Source organism: Homo sapiens, chromosome 17, assembly GCF_000001405.40.
Source record: "Homo sapiens chromosome 17, GRCh38.p14 Primary Assembly".
Lineage (NCBI taxonomy): Eukaryota > Metazoa > Chordata > Mammalia > Primates > Hominidae > Homo > Homo sapiens.
Genome location: NC_000017.11, coordinates 58,832,263 through 58,851,844, shown reverse-complemented (window position 1 = coordinate 58,851,844; position 19,582 = coordinate 58,832,263). Strand labels below are relative to the sequence as shown.

The 19,582-nt window shown below is 39.6% G+C and overlaps 1 protein-coding gene and 1 pseudogene across 4 annotated transcripts in view; both read right to left on the bottom strand.

Annotated features, from left to right (window-relative positions):
• The window catches only part of PPM1E (protein phosphatase, Mg2+/Mn2+ dependent 1E), a 229,326-nt gene that overhangs the window by 133,335 nt on the left and 76,409 nt on the right, over positions 1 to 19,582 (bottom strand). The window contains exon 1 of one of the 4 annotated variants that reach the window (XM_047435630.1): positions 11,631 to 12,544. The exons of 2 other annotated variants lie outside the window; for them this stretch is intronic. The gene's annotated coding sequence lies outside the window, so the exon portion shown is untranslated. Of the gene's footprint in view, positions 1 to 11,630; positions 12,545 to 19,582 lie in introns of those variants that run through there. One more of the 4 variants, XM_024450657.2, reaches the window with a different exon arrangement.
• RNU6-518P (RNA, U6 small nuclear 518, pseudogene) lies at positions 15,851 to 15,946 on the bottom strand (annotated as a pseudogene).

The window sequence follows — 19,582 nt, the reverse complement described above, 5'->3', positions numbered from 1 at the left end:
GCAGAAACTTCGGAGACTTAAACATCCCTGTCTGACAGCTTTGAAGAGAGTAGTGGTTCTCCCAGCATGGAATTTGAGATCTGAGAAAGGACATATTGCCTCCTCAAGTGGGTCCCTGACCCAGGAGTAGCCTAACTGGGAGACATCTCCCAGTAGGGGCCAACTGACATCTCATACAGCCAGGTGCCCCTCTGAGACGAAACTTCCAGAGGAAGGATCAGGCAGCAATATCTGCCATTCTGCAATATTTGCTGTTCTGCAGCATCTGCTGGTGATACCCAGGCAAACAGTGTCTGGAGTGGACCTCCAGCAAACTCCAACAGACCTGCAGCTGAGGGTCCTGACTGTTAGAAGGAAAACTAACAAACACAAAGGACATCTACACCAAAACCCCATCTGTACATCACCATCATCAAAGACCAAAGGTAGAAAAAACCACAAAGATGGGGACAAACCAGAGCAGAAAAGCTGAAAATTCTAAAAATCAGAGTGCCTCTTCTCCTCCAAAGGAACACAGCTCCTCGTCAGCAACAGAACAAAGCTGGACGGAGAATGACTTTGATGAGTTGAGAGAAGGCTTCAGACGATCGGTAATAACAAACTTCTCCGAGCTACAGGAGGGTGTTCGAACCCATCTCCAGGAAGCTAAAAACCTTGAAAAAAGATTAGATGAACGGCTAACTAGAATAAACATTGTAGAGAAGCCCTTAAATGACCTGATGGAGCTGAAAACCATGGCACGAGAACTACGTGATGCATGCACAAGCTTCGGTAGCCGATTTGATCAAGTGGAAGAAAGGGTATCAGTGACTGAAGATCAAATGAATGAAATGAAGCCAGAAGAGAAGTTTAGAGAAAAAAGTAAAAAGAAATGAACAAAGCCTCCAAGAAATATGGGACTACGTGAAAAGACCAAATCTCTGTCTGACTGGTGTACCTGAAAGTGACGGGGAGAATGGAACCAAGTTGGAAAACACTCTTCAGGATATTATCCAGGAGAACTTCCCCAACGTAGCAAGGCAGGCCAACATTCAAATTCAGGAAATACAGAGAACATCACAAAGATACTCCTTGAGAAGAGCAACTCCAAGACACATAATTGTCAGATTCACCAAAGTTGAAATGAAGGAAAAAATGTTAAGGGCAGCCAGAGAGAAAGGTTGGGTTACTCACAAAGGGAAGCCCATCAGACTAATAGCGGATCTCTTGGCAGAAACTCTACAAGCCAGAAGAGAGTGGGGGCCAATATTCAACATTCTTACAGAAAAGAATTTTCAACCCAGAATTTCATATCCAGCCAAACTAAGCTTCATAAGTGAAGGAGAAATAAAATCCTTTACAGACAAACAAATGCTGAGAGATTTTGTCACCACCAGGCCTGCCTTACAAGAGCTCCTGAAGGAAGCACTAAACTTGGAAGGGAACAACCAGTACCAGCCACTGCAAAAACATGCCAAATTGTAAAGACCATCGATGCGAGGAAGAAACTGCATCAACTAACCAGCAAAATAACCAGCTAATATCATAATGACAGGATCAAATTCACACATAACAATATTAACCTTAAATGTAAATGGGCTAAATGCTCCAATTAAAAGACACAGACTGCCAAATTGGATAAAGAGTCAAGACCCATCAGTGTGCTGTATTCAGGAGACCCATCTCACATGCAGAGACACACATAGGCTCAAAATAAAGGGATGGAGGAAGATCTACCAAGCAAATGGAAAAAAAAAAGCAGGGGTTGCAATCCTAGTCTCTGATATAACAGACTTTAAACCAACAAAGATCAAAAGAGACAAAGAAGGCCATTACATAATGGTAAAGGGATCAATTCAACAAGAAGAGCTAACTATCCTAAATATATATGCACCCAATACAGAAGCACCCAGATTCATAAAGCAAGTTCTTAGAGACCTACAAAGAGACTTAGACTCCCACACAATAATGAGAGACTTTAACACCCCACTGTCAACATTAGACAGATCAACAAGACAGGAAATTAACAAGGATATCCAGGAATTGAACTCAGCTCTGCACCTAATAGACATCTGCAGACCTAATAGACATCTGCAGAACTCTCCACCCCAAATCAACAGAATATACATTGTTCTCAGCACCACATCACACTTATTCCAAAATTGACCACATAGTTGGAAGTAAAGCACTCCTCAGCAAATGTAAAAGAAGAGAAATTATAACAAACTGTCTCTCAGACCACAATGCAATCAAACTAGAACTCAGGATTAAGAAACTCACTGAAAACCGCTCAACTACATGGAAACTGAACAACCTGATCCTGAATGACTACTGGGTACATAATGAAATGAAGGCAGAAATAAAGGTGTTCTTTGAAACCAATGAGAACAAACACACAACATACCAGAATCTCTGGGACACATTTAAAGCAGTGTATAGAGGGAAATTTATAGCACTAAATGCCCACAAGAGAAAGCAGGAAAGATCTAAAATTGACACCCTAACATCACAATTAAAAGAACTAGAGAAGCAAGAGCAAACACATTCAAAAGCTAGCAGAAGGCAAGAAATAACTAAGATCAGAGCAGAATTGAAGGAGATAGAGACACAAAACACCCTTCAAAAAAATCGATGAATCCAGGAGCTGGTTTTTTGAAAAGATCAACAAAATTGATAGACTGCTAGCAAGACTAATGAAGAAAAGAGAGAAGAATCAAATAGATGCAATAAAAAATAATAAAGGGGATATCACCACCAATCCCACAGAAATACAAACTACCATCAGAGAATACTATAAACACCTCTACACAAATAAAGTAGAAAATCTAGAAGAAATGGATAAATTCCTGGACACATACACCCTCCCAAGACTAAACCAGGAAGAAGTTGAATCTCTGAATAGACCAATAACAGGTTCTGAAATTGAGGCAATAATTAATAGCCTACCAACCAAAAAAAGTCCAGGACCAGATGGATTCACAGCTGAATTCTACCAGAGCTACAAAGAGGAGCTGGTACCATTCCTTCTGAAACTATTCCAATCAATAGAAAAAGAGGGAATCCTCCCTAATTCATTTTATGAGGCCAACATCGTCCTGATAGCAAAGCCTGGCAGAGACACAACAAAAGAAGAGAATTTTAGACCAATATCCCTGATGAACATCAATGCAAAAATCCTCAATAAAATACTGGCAAACCGAATCCAGCAGCACATCAAAAAGCTTATCCACCATGATTAAGTTGGCTTTGTCCATGGGATGCAAGGCTGGTTCAACATGAGCAAATCAATAAACATAATCCATCACATAAACAGAACCAAAGACAAAAACCACATGATTATCTCAATAGATGCAGAAAAAGCCTTCAACAAAATTCAACAGCCCTTCATGCTAAAAACTCTCAATAAACTAGGTATTGATGGGATGTATCTAAAAATAATAAGAGCTATTTATGACAAACCCACAGCCAATATCATACTAATGGGCAAAAACTGGAGGAATTCCCTTTGAAAGCCGGCACAAGACAGGGATGCCCTCTCTCACCACTCCTATTCAACATAGTGTTAGAAGTTCTGGCCAGGGTAATCAGGCAGGAGAAGGAAATAAAGCGTATTCAATTAGGAAAAGAGGAAGTCAAATTGTCCCTGTTTGCAGATGACATGATTGTATATTTAGAAAACCCCACCGTCTCAGCCCCAAATCTCCTTAAGCTGATATGCAACTTCAGCAAAGTCTCAGGATACAAAATCAATGTGCAAAAATCACAACAAGCATTCCTATACACCAATAACAGACAAACAGAGAGCCAAATCATGAGTGAACTCCCATTCACGATTGCTTCAAAGAGAATAAAAAACCTGGAAATCCAATTACAAGGGATGTGAAGGACCTCTTCAAGGAGAACTACAAACCACTGCTCAATGAAATAAGAGAGGACACAAACAAATGGAAGAACATTCCATGCTCATGGACAGGAAGAATCAATATTGTGAAAATGGCCATATAGCCCAAGGTAATTTATAGATTCAATGCCATCCCCATTAAACTACCAATGACTTTCTTCACAGTATTGGAAAAAACTACTTTCAAGTTCATATGGAATCAAAAAAGAGCCTGCATTGCCAAGACAATCCTAAGCCAAAAGAACAAAGCTGGAGGCATCATGCTACCTGACTTCAAACTATACTACAAGGCTACAGTAACCAAAACAGCATGGTACTGGTACCAAAACAGAGATACAGACCAATGGAACAGAATAGAGCCCTCAGAAATAATACCACACATCTATAACCATCTGATCACTGACAAATCTGACAAAAACAAGAAATGGGGAAAGGATTCCCTATTTAATAAATGGTGCTGGGAAAACTGGCTAGCCATATGTAGAAAGCTGAAACTGGATCCCTTCCTTACACCTTATACAAAAATGAATTCAAGATGGATTAAAGACTTAAATGTTAGACCTAAAATCATAAAAAGCCTAGAAGAAAATCTAGGCAATACCATTCAGGCCATAGGCATGGGCAAGGACTTCATGACTAAAACACCAAAAGCAATGGCAACAAAAGCCAAAATTGAAAAATGGGATCTAATTAAACTAAAGAGCTTCTGCACAGCAAAAGAAACTACCATCTGAGTGAACAGGCAACCTACAGAATGGGAGAAAATTTTTACAATCTACCCACCTGACAAAGGGCTAATATCCAGAATCTACAAAGAACTTAAATAAATTTACAAGAAAAAATCAAACAACCCCATCAAAAAGTGGGCAAAGGATATGAACAGACACTTCTCAAAAAAAGACATTTATGCAGCCAAAAGACACATGAAAAAATGCTCAACATCACTGGTCATCAGAGAAATGCAAATCAAAACCACAATGAGATACCATCTCACACCAGTTAGAATGGCAATCATTAAAAAGTCAGGAAACAACAGGTGCTGGAGAGGATGTGGAGAAATAGGAACACTTTTACACTGTTGGTGGGAGGTAAACTAGTTCAACCATTGTGGAAGACATTGTGATGATTCCTCAAGGATCTAGAACTAGAAATACCATCTGACCCAGCAATTCCATTACTGGGCATATACCCAAAGGATTATAAATCATGCTGCTATAAAGACACATGCACACGTATGTTTATTGTGGCACTATTCACAATAGCAAAGACTTGGAACCAACCCAAATGCCCATCAATGGTAGACTGGATTAAGAAAACGTGGCACATATACACCATGGAATACTATGCAGCCATAAAAAAGGATGCATTCATGTCCTTTGTAGAGACATGGATGAAGCTGGAAACCATCATTCTGAGCAAACTATTGCAAGGACAGAAAACCAAACACCACATGTTCTCACTCATACATGGGAATTGAACAATGAGAATACTTGAACACAGGGTGGGGACCATCATACACCAGAGTCTGTCATAGGATGGGGGAAACGGGGAGGGATAGCATTAGGAGATATACCTAATGCTAAATGACGAGTTAATGGGTGCAGCACACCAACATGGCACACATATACATATGTAACAAACCTGCATGTTGTGCACATGTACCCTAGAATTTAAAGTATAATAATAATAAAAAAGAAAGAAAATGTAAAATAGTACAACCACTGTGGAAAACGGTTTCCTCAAAGAGTTTAAAATAGAATTACCAAATGACCCAGCAATTCTATGGGTATATACTCAAAAGAATTGGGTCCCAAAGAGATACTTATACATTTATAATCATAACATTTGTAATCATAGCAGCATTATTCACAGTAGCTAAAACATGGAAGCAACCCAGGTATCAACTGACTGATGAATGGATAAGCAAAATGTGGTACATATATACAACAGAATATTATTCAGCCTTAAAAAGGAAATAAATTTTGGCTGGGCACGGTGGCTCATGCGTATAATACCAACATTTTGGGAGGCCGAGTTCGGCAGATCACCTGAGGTCAGGAGTTCGAGACCAGGCTGGCCAACATGGTGACACTCCATCTCTACTAAAAATACAAAAATTAGCTGGGTGTGATGGCGCACGCCTGTAGTCCCAGCTACTTGGGAGGCTGAGGCAGCAGAATCTCTTGAACGTGGGAGGAGGAGGTTGCAGTGAGCCAAGATCGCGCCACTGCACTCCAGCCTAGCGACAGAGCGAGACTCTGTCTCAAAAACAAACAAACAAAAATAAATAAATTCTAATATATGCTGCAATATGAGTGAACCTTGATGAGGACATCATGTTAACTGAAATAAATTGGTCACAAAAAGATAAATACTGTATGATTCCACTTAAATTAGTTATTCATTGTAGTCCAAATCATAGTCAAAAAGCAGAATGATGGTTGCCAGGGGCTAAGAGGAGGAAGGAATGAGAAGTTACTGTTTAATGGATAGAAAGTTTCAATTTTGCAAAATGAAAAGAGTTCTGGAGATGGATGGTGGTGATAGTTGTACAATAATATTAATATACTTAATACCAATAAATTGTATACTTAAAAATGGGTAAGACAGAACATTTCGTTATGTGTATTTTACCACAATAAAAGAAACTGAAAAAAAAAAAAAACCAACCATGACCCATGAACAGAACTGTAGAGGAATGAATCTGTAAAAGTAAATCCACTTGCTAGGTTGCTATATGTTACCCCTGGTTCCTTCCTGAAAATACTAATTAATGATGATTACAACAATATACCCAAATATTTACAATGTCAGAAATTTCCAGCAAATGTAGACTTGGTCACACATTTCGCATAAGTGATTAGCAACACTGTTAAGGCTGGGCATTCAGACACAGGCAAAGCTTACCATAATGGAGGAAAGTGACTATGCCATTCCCAGACTGCAATACTATATGCAATATATATGAGAAGCCAGTGCCATTATCTAATGAAAACAACACTCAATAATGCTTGAATAAAAGGTTATTGATAGAAATATTTTAACTTTAAAAATTTGGTCTCTATGTCTCTTTAGTCTCTTAGTTCAAACCAAATTTTCTGTAAGATGTTGTGATGTTCTTTGCTAGAAGACTGCTAGATTTCTTATTAGGGTACAAATACAAGAGAAATCATGTTTTTGCAAAAGTCTACTACTCTAAAGATTGATTGCTGATATCTTTTTCCATGCAGTTTTATAAAATATGTTGCCTCTATAAAAGACTCTAAGTAGAAGACTCAACAGTGAAATAAATTCCATTAACACATTTTCATGGAAATAATTAGTTTAGTGACAACCTTCAAAAGCCCCATGTGGGGAGATGGTAAACTGTCTTTGAATGCCCACCTCGGCTATTTACACTTGCCATTAATGAGGGAAACAGTCACTATTTCTTTACAAACTCAATAAGAGGCTGGAGGATGTACTCATAAAATCCAGCAGTCATACAATGTATATTATATTATTCTAGATAGTTTTTAATCTCTTCTGAAAAGTTATCCCTTTATATCACTTTTTAATCTGTAAGCATTATGTTCTCATTTTTATTATAATTTTATTTTCTTCCTTTTATTGTTACCCTTATTATTCACTTTCATACCCATTTGAAATATAAATTACAATTAGTTATAATTTTTTTTATACCAGAAACATTGGTAACTTTTAAAATCAACTCATCATATTAGAAAATCTTCACAATAAATTCAGATAATAATTCAATATATTTGTAAATATTAATCATGTTTGCTTTTAATCTTTGTAATAAGTGAAATTCTCTAATATCCCAGGACCTACAGTCCTTCAGTAAAATGACAGTTGAAATACATTTCTCAAAAAATAGTACTATAATTCTTAAGAATTTAATTCCCAAAATAATGTATCTCTGTATTTAACTCCATATGACGTATAGAAAGGTATGTGACAAAACTATAATGCTCTGCCTAAAGACTTGCAAAGCATACTCTGCACCCTCCTTTGAAGGTCAGATATTTGTTTACATTGTATGCTTAGGGGATCCCATTTATAATAAATCACTTTTTCATATGCCATTTCCCCTACAATCTTCATTGTTTCACAATGTTTTGTTTTGTTTTGTTTTGAGACAGGGTCTAGCTCTGTGCCCAGGCTGGAGTGCATTGGCATGGTCATGGCTCAGTGCACCCTCAACCTCCAGGGCTCAGTTGATCCTCCCATCTCAGCCTCCTGAGCAGTTGTGACTCTGGGCACACACCACCATGCCCAGCTAATTTTTGCATACATATATATTTTAGACACAGGGTTTCACCATGTTGCCCAGGCTTGTCTCAAATTCCTGGGCGCAAGCAATCCGCTTGCCTCGGCCTCCCAAAGTGCTAGGATTACAGGTGTGAGCCACTGTGCCCGGCCTTGTTCTACAGTTTTATTTTTATTTTTTTTAGACAGGATCTTGCTCTGTCACCCAGGCTAAGTGGCGCGATCTCCGCTCACTGCAACCTCTACCTCCCGGGTTCAAGCAATTCTCCTGCCTCAGCCTTCCAAGTATAGCTGGGACTACAGATGTGCACCACCACGCCCAGCTAGTTTTTTATTTTAATTTTTATTTAATTCATTTTTTTTTTTTTTTGAGAGGGAGTCTCACTCTGTCGCCCAGGCTGGAGTGCCGTGGTGCAATCACGGCTCACTGAAAACTCCGCCTCTCAGGTTCATGCCATTCTCCTGCCTCCCAGGTTCACGCCTCCCAGGTTCTCTGCCTCCCAGGTTCACTCCATTCTCCAGCCTGGGACTACAGGCGCCGCCACCATGCCCGACTAATTTTTTTTGTATTTTTAGTAGAGACAAGGTTTCGCCATGTAGCCAGGATGGTCTAGATCTCCTGACCTCGTGATCTGCCTGCCTCGGTATCCCAAAGTGCTAGGATTACAGGCATGAGCCACCCAGCGCCCGGCCTGTTCTACACTTTTTAAAATTATAATTCTTTTTAAAATCAAAACATTCTAAACTTTTTTTTTTGAGACAGAGATGTTGCTCTTGTTGCCCAGGCTGGAGTGCAATGGCACGATCTTGGCTCACTGCAACCTCCACCTCCCAGGTTCAAGAGATTCTTCTGCCTCATCCTCCCGAGTAGCTGGGATTACAGGTGTGCACCACCACACCTGGCTAATTTTGTATTTTTAGTAGAGACAAGGTTTCACCATGTTGATCAGGCTGTTCTCAAACTCTTGACCTCAAGTGATCCACCCGCCTTGGCCTCCCAAAGTGCTGGGATTACAGGTGTGCACCACCACACCTGGCTAATTTTGTATTTTTAGTAGAGACAAGGTTTCACCATGTTGATCAGGCTGTTCTCAAACTCTTGACCTCAAGTGATCCACCCGCCTTGGCCTCCCGAAGTGCTGGGATTACAGGCATGAGCCACTGCGCCCAGCCAACAGTTTTTGATTTACAAATTGAGTAGATAGTGTAGCATTTTCATATACCCCCCAACATACACACACATTTTCCATTTTCCCCTATTATTAACAGCTTATGTTAGTATGGCTCACTTATTACAGTTAATGAATGAATACTGAAAAGTTATTATTAACTGGTCCATAGTTTGATTTCCTTAGTTTTTACTTAATGTCCTTTTTCTGTTCCAGGATCCCATTCAGGATGCCACTATATTACGTTTACTTGTCGCGTCTCCTTAGGTGTCTCTTAGCTGTGATTGTTTCTCAGACTTTCTCTTTTTGAGGATCTTGACAGTTTAAAGAGTTCTGGTCAGGTATACTACAGGATGGCCCTCTATTAGAATTTGTTTTTCTCAGGCTGGGCACTGTGGCTCCCATGCCTGTAGTCCCAGTACTTTGGGAGGCCAAGGTGGGTGGATCACTTAAGGTCAGGAGTTTGAGACCAGCCTACCCAACACAGGGAAACCCCGTTTCTATTAAAAATACAAAAATTGGCCAGGCACAGCAGCTCATGCCTATAATCTCAGCACTTTGGGAGGCCAAGGAGGGCGGATCACGAGGTCAGGAGTTCAAGACCAGCCTGGGCAATATGGTGAAATCCCATCTTTACTAAAAAATACAAAAATTAGCCAGGCGTGGTGGTGCACACCTGTAGTCCTAGCTACTCAGGAGGCTGAGGCAGGAGAATCGCTTGAACCCAAGAGGCAGAGGTTGCAGTGAGCCGAGGTCATGCCACTGCACTCCAGCCTGGGCAACAGAGTAAGACTCTGTCTCGAAATGAAAAACAAACAAAAAAACCCACAAAAATTAGCTGGTCACGGTGGTGTGCACCTGTAATCCCAGCTACTCGGGAGGCTGAGGCAGGAGAATTGCTTGAACCTGGGAGGTGGAGGCTGCAGTGAGTCAAGATTGCACCACTGCACTGCACTCCAGTCTGGGAGACAGAGCAAGACTCCGCCTCAAAAAAAAAAAAAAAAAGTATTTGTTTTTCTCATGGTTAGATTGGTGTTACAGACTTTTGTGACAAAGATCACAGAGATAAAGTGCCATTTTTCATCATAGCATATTGAGGGTATATATGATATCAACATGATTTATGACTGTTTATATTGACCATAATCACTTGGCTTGAAGGTGTGTTTGTCACGTCTCTCCCATGAAGTTATTCCTTTCCTCCCACTCTCCACTTTTCATAAGGGACTCTGGAAGGAAGTCACTATGCACAGCCCACACTTAAGGAGTGGAGAATTAACCTCCCATCCTCAGGATGAAGTATCTAGATAATATAATTAGCATTATTCCATATGGAAAGATTTGTCTATTCACTTCCATTTATTAATTTATCCAATTATTTATATATCAGTATGAACTCATTGTGGAGTCCTGATAAGTTAGCAACAACAAGGGGGGTGCCCCAGGGTGAGTGAGAACAATTGTTCTGAGAAACAGCTAACTACAAACATCCCGTTTGCACAATATCCTGTTCCCGAATACCTTGTTCTACATGTAGTCCCTCCAGGTCCAGCCTATAAAACTTCCCTCCAGCCCTGCCCCTTTGCAGACAGCTTTTTCTCTGCTGTGCTGCCCAATGCTTCCTTGCAACATACTTTCTCTCTAATACACTTACTTATTATTACAATTATTAACTCACAGCTGTTTCAGCAAATTATTTTACCACTGATGACGCTGGCCCAGATCAGCTGCAACCCACCACAATCATGAATATTTATGTTATACTTTAGGTTATAATACAATAGTATGGTATTCATTCATTTATTTTGCTCAAATATTTCTAAATTTTCCCATTGGGTGCTCTTTCATTTGGCTTCTTTTACATACCTCTCACAGTGATCTTTTTTTTTTCTTTAGCACTTTCTTACTTTCTGCCTCTACAAGATGCCCCAGGCTGGTTCTGTACATTTTCTACCCTATCCCTGGAATCAGCCATTTCTCCAAGGAGTCCTGGTTACTCTTACTGAAGAATAATATTAGAAACCAAGATCTGAGCATTAGGTATACTTGTTACTACTGAATTGGTCTGGCTTTTGCCCTTGGCTCCAGGGAGGTATTCTCTAAGCCTCTGTAATGCCTGACTGAAAAGTAGGTCCTTGTTAACCTGGGAGCTTTAGGCCATGCCAGATAGCCTATGCTAACAATGTAATTAATGGTGGAGGTTTTGAGCCATGTGGTATCTGTAACAAAAAACAGCCATGTGAGTAGTCAATCATGTCTATATGACCAAGCCCCAACAAAAACTCTGGACACCAAGGCTTGAGTGATCTTACCTGGTTGGCAATACTTCTAGCGTGTCGTCACAGATTGTTGCTGGGGGAAGTTACCACTGTCCATTAGTCCAGCAGGAGAAGAAACTGGAAGCTTCACATGAGGAATTCTCCTGTACTCTGTCCCATGTGCTTCTTCCCTTGGCTGGTTTTAATATGTATCCTTTTATTGTAATAAACCATAACTGTAAATATAGCAGCTTTCAGTGAGTTCTGTGAGTACCTCTAGGGAATTATTCAACATGAGGGTGATCTTGGGGACCCCTAAACTTACAATTGGAGTCAGAAGTGGTGGTGGTGTTGTAAACTTCTAAACTTTATAGTATGTATACTAACTTGTGCACATACCCATCTATAAAAATTTCCACAAGCAACTATCTAACTATATATGAGCTGTTCTAGTATCCTCAACGTTAATCCATTACCACATGGGTCATTCTAGCTTCCTCCCTTGTTGATTTGTAAAATTTTCACTCCAACAGTGAAAAACCTGGCTCCCACTATCTGCTATCTATTTTCTTCTTGGTCAATGTTAGTGTACATAAAATTTCCACTCCAACAGTGAGAAACCTGGCTCCCACTATCTGCTATCTATTTTCTTATTGTTCAATGTTAGTATACAAGTATAGCAACAATGCATTTATTAACCTATAAACCCATGCAGAAAAACTTTATCAACTTGAGTAAGTACTCTTGTACAGTTCCTTTGGCCTTTAGTTTTACAGACTCCAGTCATTTTCAAAGTTAGGGTAGCACTTTTCTCCCCATCCCTTCGGTGAGGTTGTTTCATATATTTGTAATACAGTTAGATGCTCTTGTCACAGTCTGCTTTCTTTCCCAAATCCCGTGGCCTCCTGAATTATATTATTTTTTCCTTAAAAAAATTTTTTTTTTTAGAGACAAGGTCTTGCCATGTTGCTGGACTTGAACTCAAGTCCCAAGCTGGACTTGAACTCTTGGCCTCCAGTGATCTTCTTACCTCAGCCTCCCAAGTAGCTGGGATTACAGGCAGAAGCCACCATGCCTACCTGTGAAAGCTATTGTTAAATTTGTACACACTGAGGTTAACTTTTTGTGCTGTAAAGTTCTACAGACTTTAACAAATGCATAATGTCATGTACCCACCATTACAGTGCGTACAGAATAGTTTCACCACCTAAAATACCACTCTGCTTCACCTATTCATCCCTCCCTCACTACTGTCCACAACCCGACAACCACTGATCTTTTTACTGCCACCATAATTTTCCTCCTCCAGAATGTTATATAATTGGAATTGTTACAGTATATAGGTTTTTCAATTACTTAATAATATGCATCTATATTTTCTCCATGTCTTTTCCTGGTTTAATATCTCCTTTCTTTTGATCGCTTAATAACATTCCATTGTATGAATGTATCACAATAGTTTGGTTATCCATTCGCCTATCAAGGGACAATCTGTTGCATCCAGTTTGGGGGCAGTTATGAATAAAGCTGCTGTAAACATTCCTTTGCAGGTTTCTGTGTGGACGTAAGTTTACAACTCAACTGGGTATGTCTATTGCACCTAGAAATGCGATTAATTGCTAGATCATATGGTAAGAATATGTTTATCTTTCTTGTAAGCCACTGCCAAACTCTTTTCCAAAGTGGCTATATCATTTTGCATTTCCACCAGCAAAGATGAGAGTTTCTTTTGTTTTTCATCCTCACCAGTTTTTCAGTTTTTAAATTTAGCCATTCTAACAGACTTTAATGGTATCTCATTGTTTTAACCTGCAATTCCCTAAAGACAAATGATGAGCGTCTTTTTAGTGTTTATTTGCTGTCTCTACATTTTCTTTATTGAGGTGTCTGTTCAGATCTTTTGCTCCCTTTTTAATTGGGTTGTTCACTTTCTTATTGTTGAATTGTAAGTGTTTTTTGTATATTTTGGGTACAAGTCCTTTATCAGATATGTGTTTTGCAAAGATTTTTTCCCAGTTTGTGACTTACCTTTTAACTCCCTTTACTGTGTCTTTCCCAGAACACAAGTTTAAAGTCAATTTTATCAATGTTTTTCCTCCATGCTATTTGAGTTGTATCTAAAACTCATGGCCAAACTCAAGGTCACTAGATTTCTCCTATGTTATCTTCTAGAAGTCTTATAAGTTATGCATTTTACATTTATGTGTATGATCTATTTTAAGTTAGTTTTTGTGACAGGTATAACATCTATGTTTACATTCCAGAGGACTTTCTTAATTGAAAGGCTTCAAAGATTTATCAACACGTTATTGTCAGTGATCATCACCTTCTCTGGGACAGTCTAACAGCCCTGGCTGGACATGAGACAGAGTCAAGATTAACTTCTCAAATGCTGCCAACTTTTATAAACAGCACACTACATTGTCTAAATTAGCAAATGCGTAGCACATATAATTTATAAAAACCTCATGGGCTGGTTGTGGTGGCTCATGCCTGTAATCCCAACATTCCAGGAGGCCGAGGCGGGTGGATCACCTGAGGTCAGGAGATCGAGACCATCCTGGCTGACACGGTGAAACCCTGTCTCTACTAAAAATACAAAAAATGGCCGGGAGTGGTGGTGGGCACCTGTAATCCCAGCTACTCAGGAGGCTGAGGCAGGAGAATCACTTGTACCTGGGAGGCAGAGGTTGCAGTGAGCAGAGATTGCACCACTGCACTCTAGTCTAGGTGACTGTGTGAGACTCTGTCTTAAAAAAAAAAAAAAAAGCCTCATGATTTTAATAGAATTTCTGATGGCCTTTTAAAACAATTTCTTAACATAAATTAAAAGTCCAATAAATTTTTCTGAGTAATCTTAAATAAAAATGAAATCAATTTGTAACTATTAAGGATAATGAGAGATTTAGTGTGTGTGTGTGTGTGTGTGTGTGTGTATGTGTGTGTGTTATTCTCATTCTCTGACAGTTGTATATCCTGGGAATTCTTTTTTTTTTTTTTTTTTTTTTAATTTTTTTAAGAGACAGGGTTTTACTCTGTTAGCCAGGCTGGAGTGCAGTGGGACCATCATGGCCCACTGTAACCTCCAACTCCTGGGCTCCTGGGCTCAAGTGATCCTCCCATCTCAGCCTCTGGAGTAGCTAAGACTACAGGCATGCGCCAACAAACCCAGTTGATCTTAAATTTTTTGTGGCTGGGCACGGTGGCTCACGCCTTGTAATCCTGGCACTTTTTTTTTTTTTTTTTTTTGAGACGGAGTTTCGCTCTGTCGCCCAGGCTGGAGTGCAGTGGCGGGATCTCGGCTCACTGCAAGCTCCGCCTCCCGGGTTCACGCCATTCTCCTGCCTCAGCCTCCCGTGTAGCTGGGACTACAGGCGCGCGCCACCATGCCCGGCTAATTTTTGTATTTTTAGTAGAGACGGGGTTTCACCGTGTTAGCCAGGATGGTCTCGATCTCCTGACCTCGTGATCCGCCCGTCTCGGCCTCCCAAAGTGCTGGGATTACAGGCGTGAGCCACCGCGCCCGGCCAATAATCCTGGCACTTTAGGAGGCCGAGGCAGGCAGATCACAAGGTCAGGAGCTCGAGACCAGCCTGACCAATATGGTGAAACCCCGTCTCTACTAAAAATACAAAAACTAGCTGGGTGTGGTGGCATGTGCCTGTAATCCCAGCTACTCAGGAGGCTGAGGCAAAAGAATCGCTTGAACCTGGGCGGCAGAGGTTGCAGTGAGCCAAGATTGCACCACTGCACTCCCAGCCTGGGCGACAGAGCAAGACTCCGTCTCAAGAAAAAAAAAATTTTTTTTTTGTAAAGACAGGATCTTACTCTGTCGCCCAGGCTGGTCTTGAACTCCTGGGCTCATTAAATCCTCATACCTTGGCCTCCCAAAGTGCAGGTGTGAGCCACCATGCCAGGCCCCCTGGGAATTCTTTGATTTAGATAAGAAGAAGGCAGATGATGAAATACATTAATCTTAATATTATATATAGTTCATTTTTTCCTGAAAGAATTTTAATCTGGGTAACACAAAAGATAAAGTTAGTAGTCTTGTCACTTTTGAGCAACAATATATACCCAAAACTTAAAAAACAGTTGCTGTTAGAGTATATCAGGATGGTTTTGCTCTGGGCAGCATTGTATAGTGGTTAGCATCATGTTAGAGATTCTAAAGCCACACCTGGGTTTGAATCCTAGCTCTACTGTTTACCAATTTTGTAACCTTAGGCAATTAATTACTTGACTGTTCTAAGTCTCAGTTTCCCCATTTTTTTTAAATTATAATATGTAACATTTGAGTGTGATCCTTGTGCAGGGACCATACTAATCTTCTCTATCATTTTTAGTATATGTGCTGCTGAAGCGAGCGCCCCATTTGTTTTTGTTTTGTTTTTTTGTTTGAGACGGGGTCTTGTTCTGTCACCCAGGCTGGAGTGCAGTGGCATGATCATAGCTCACTGCAGCCTCAAAATCCTGGGCTCAAGCAATCCTCCTGCCTCAGCCTCCTGAGTAGCTGGGACTGCAGGCATGCACCACCATGCACGGCTAATTTTTTAAAATTTTTTGTAGAGATAGAGGTCTCACTATATTGCCTAATTTTTAAAAATTTTTTGTAGAGATAGAGGTCTCACTATATTGCCTGAGCTAGTCTTGAACTCCTGGGCTCAAGCAATCCTCCTACCTCAACCTCCTAAATGCTGGGATTACAGGTGCGAGCCACTGAACTCAGTCAAAAATATATGTTTTAATAAAATATAAAGCTACAGTGGGAAGGCCCAACAATATGACAGGTAATAAAATTTCCCAGAACATTTACAATAACACTAAAAAAAAATTAAAATTCGGGTAGAAATATAACAAAACATGCACAGGATCTGTGTGCCAAAAACTACAAAACACTGATGAATTTTATTTTACTTTATTTGAGACAGGGTCTTGCTCTGTCACCGAGGCTGAAGTGCAGTGGCACAAATGATTGTGGCTTACTATACCCTTGACCTCCCAGACTCAATCAATCACCTCGCCTTAGCCTCCCCAGTAGCTGGGACTACAGGCACGTGCCACCATGGTTGGCGAATTTTTCTATTTTTTGTAGAGATGAGGTCTCACTATGTTGCTGAGGCTGGTCTCGAACTCCTGTGCTCAAGTGATCCTCCCACCTCAGTCTCTCAAAGTGCTGGGATTATAGGCATGAGTCACTGCACCAGGCCAAAAAAAGGTTTTAATGACCTAAATAACTGGAGAGATGTGGCATTCTCATGGATTCGGAGGCTTTAGAGAGTAAAGACATCAATTCTCTCGAAATTGATCTGCAGTTGGTTTAATGCAATTCCTATAAAAATCCTAACAGATTTTTATACATGAACAAGCTGATTCTAAAATTTATATGGAAAGGCAAAGGAACTAGAATAGCTAAAAGAATTTTGAAAAAAAGAATAAAATAAGGGTAATCACATTAGCTTTTTAAAGACTTACTATAGAGGCACAACAGTTAAACGGTCGTATTGGGAGACAGACACACAGATCAATAGAACAAAAAAGAGCAAAAAAATAAACTCACACTTGTACAGACAACCAATTTTTGACAAAGGCATAAAAGCAATTTAATGAAGCAAGGATAGTCGTTTTAACAAGTGGTGATGGGACAACTGGTCTCCTGTAGGAGACAAAATGGACCTTGACCTAAACCTCACAATTTATACCAAAATTAACAAACTTCAAATGCATAATTTTATCAGATGTTGAACTATAAGACTCTTAGGGAAAAAACAAGAGAAACTCTGTGTGACCTAAATTTAGGGAAAATGTTCTTAGATATGACACCAAAAGTACAACCCATAAAGGAAAAAATTAATAAATTAGACTTCATCATAATTAAAACTTTTCCTCTGTGAAAGATATTAAGAAAATGAGAAAAGAAGCCACAGATTGGGAGAAAATATTTGCAAATCACATATATTTGAGAAATAATTTATATCTAGAATCAATAAGGAAATCCCTAACCTCAACTGTAAATAAGTAAGCAGTCCAATTAAAAAGTGGGCAAACAAGTCAACAATGCAATCCCATTTACAATAGCCATACCCCACACCCCACCAAAAAATAAAAATAAAACAAATAAACAAACAAACAAAAAACCCTACATCTAAGCAAAGAGGGGAAATATCTCTACAAGAACCACAAAACACTTCCAAATGGGCGAAAGACATGCACAGACACTTCGCAAAAGAAGACATACATCTGGCCAATGAACACGAAAAAATGCTCCACATCACTAATCATCAGAGAAATGCAAATCAAAATCACAATGAGATGCCATCTCACATCAGTCAGATGTCAGAATGGCTATTATTATAAAGTCAAAAAACAACAGATGTCGGAAAGGCTGTGGAGAAAAGGGAACACTTATACACTGTTGGTGAGAATGCAAATTAGCTTAGCCACTATGGAAAGCAGTTTGAAGATTTCTCAAAGAACTTAAAACAGAACTACCATTTGACCCAGGAATCCGATTACCCATACTGGGTATATACCCAAAAGAAAACAAGTAATTCTATCAAAAAGACATATGCACTCGCATGTTCACTGCAGCACTATTCACAATAGCAAAGATGTGGAATCAACCTAGATGCCCATCAGATGTGGTCTGGATAAAGAAAATGTGGTGCATATACACCACAGAATACTATCCAGCCATAAAAAAAGAACAAAATCATGTCCTTTGCAGCAACACGGGTGCAACTGGAGGCCTTTATCCTAAGTGAATTAATGCAAGAACAGAAAGCCAAATACCACATGTTCTCACTTATAAGTGGGAGCTAAACATGGGGTACTCATGGACATAAAAACGGCAACAATAGAAACTAAAGACTTCTGTGGGGGTGCGGTGAGGTAACTGTTGAAAAACTACTGGGTTTCAAAAGGTCACATACTAGATGATTCCACTTACATAACAGTCTCAAAGTAACAAAAGTATGGTAATGGAAAACAGATCAGTGGTTGCCAGGGGTTAGGATTGGGGTGTGACTGTAAACGGCTAGCACATGGGAGTTTCTTTGGGAGTTCTATATCCCAAATGTGATAATGGTCATATGAATTTATACATGTGATAAAATCCTGTAGAACTACATACATCCCCCAAACATTTTTTTTTAAGGATTGTATATAATAACTGTGAAATCTTGTGAGGCTGAGGCAGGTGAATCACTTGAGGCTGGGAGTTCAAGATCAGCCTGACCAACATGGTGAAACCCCGTCTCTACTAAAAGAAAAAAATACAAAAATTAGCCATAGCCAGGAGTAGTGATGCATGCCTGTGATCCCAGCTGCTCAGATGGCTGAGGAAGGAGAATCGCTTGTTCCCAGGAGGCGAGGGTGCAGTGAGCTAAGACCACACCACTGCACTCCAGCCTGGTAACAGAGCGAGGCTCCATCTCAAAAAACAAACAAACAAACAAAAACCTGGTGAAATCCAAATAAGGTCAGTAGTTTAGTTAATAAATAGTATTGTACCAATGTCAGTTTTCTGATTTTGATAATTATACTATGGTTATATAAGATGTCTTTGGGGGAAGCTGGGTGAAGAGTACATCTGAACTCTGTACTATTTTTGCAACTTCTACATGACTCTAAAAATATTTCAAAATTAAAGTTTAAAATTTCATGTTACGTTATTATGCAGAACATCTTAATTCTCAACCTACACTCCAGATTATTTTTAAAAAGGAGCACCAATTGATCTAATTAAAAACAAAACAAAATCATTGTATGTTTCAGGTCTCTCTCTCTATATATAGAAGTAGTAGAAGCTTTACATTTTTTCTTTAATTTCAAGCAGATAAAATTCTGAGAAACTCTTCCCTTTGCAGAACATACCAGGAGTGCTAGGTTTATTTTTTTTTATCACAACAATATTTCAAAAGAAAATGATAATAATTTACTCTAGTCTGTGCTGGTTAGATTCTACCTGGAGTATTGCTCTCAATTCCAGGTATCATTCTTTAAGA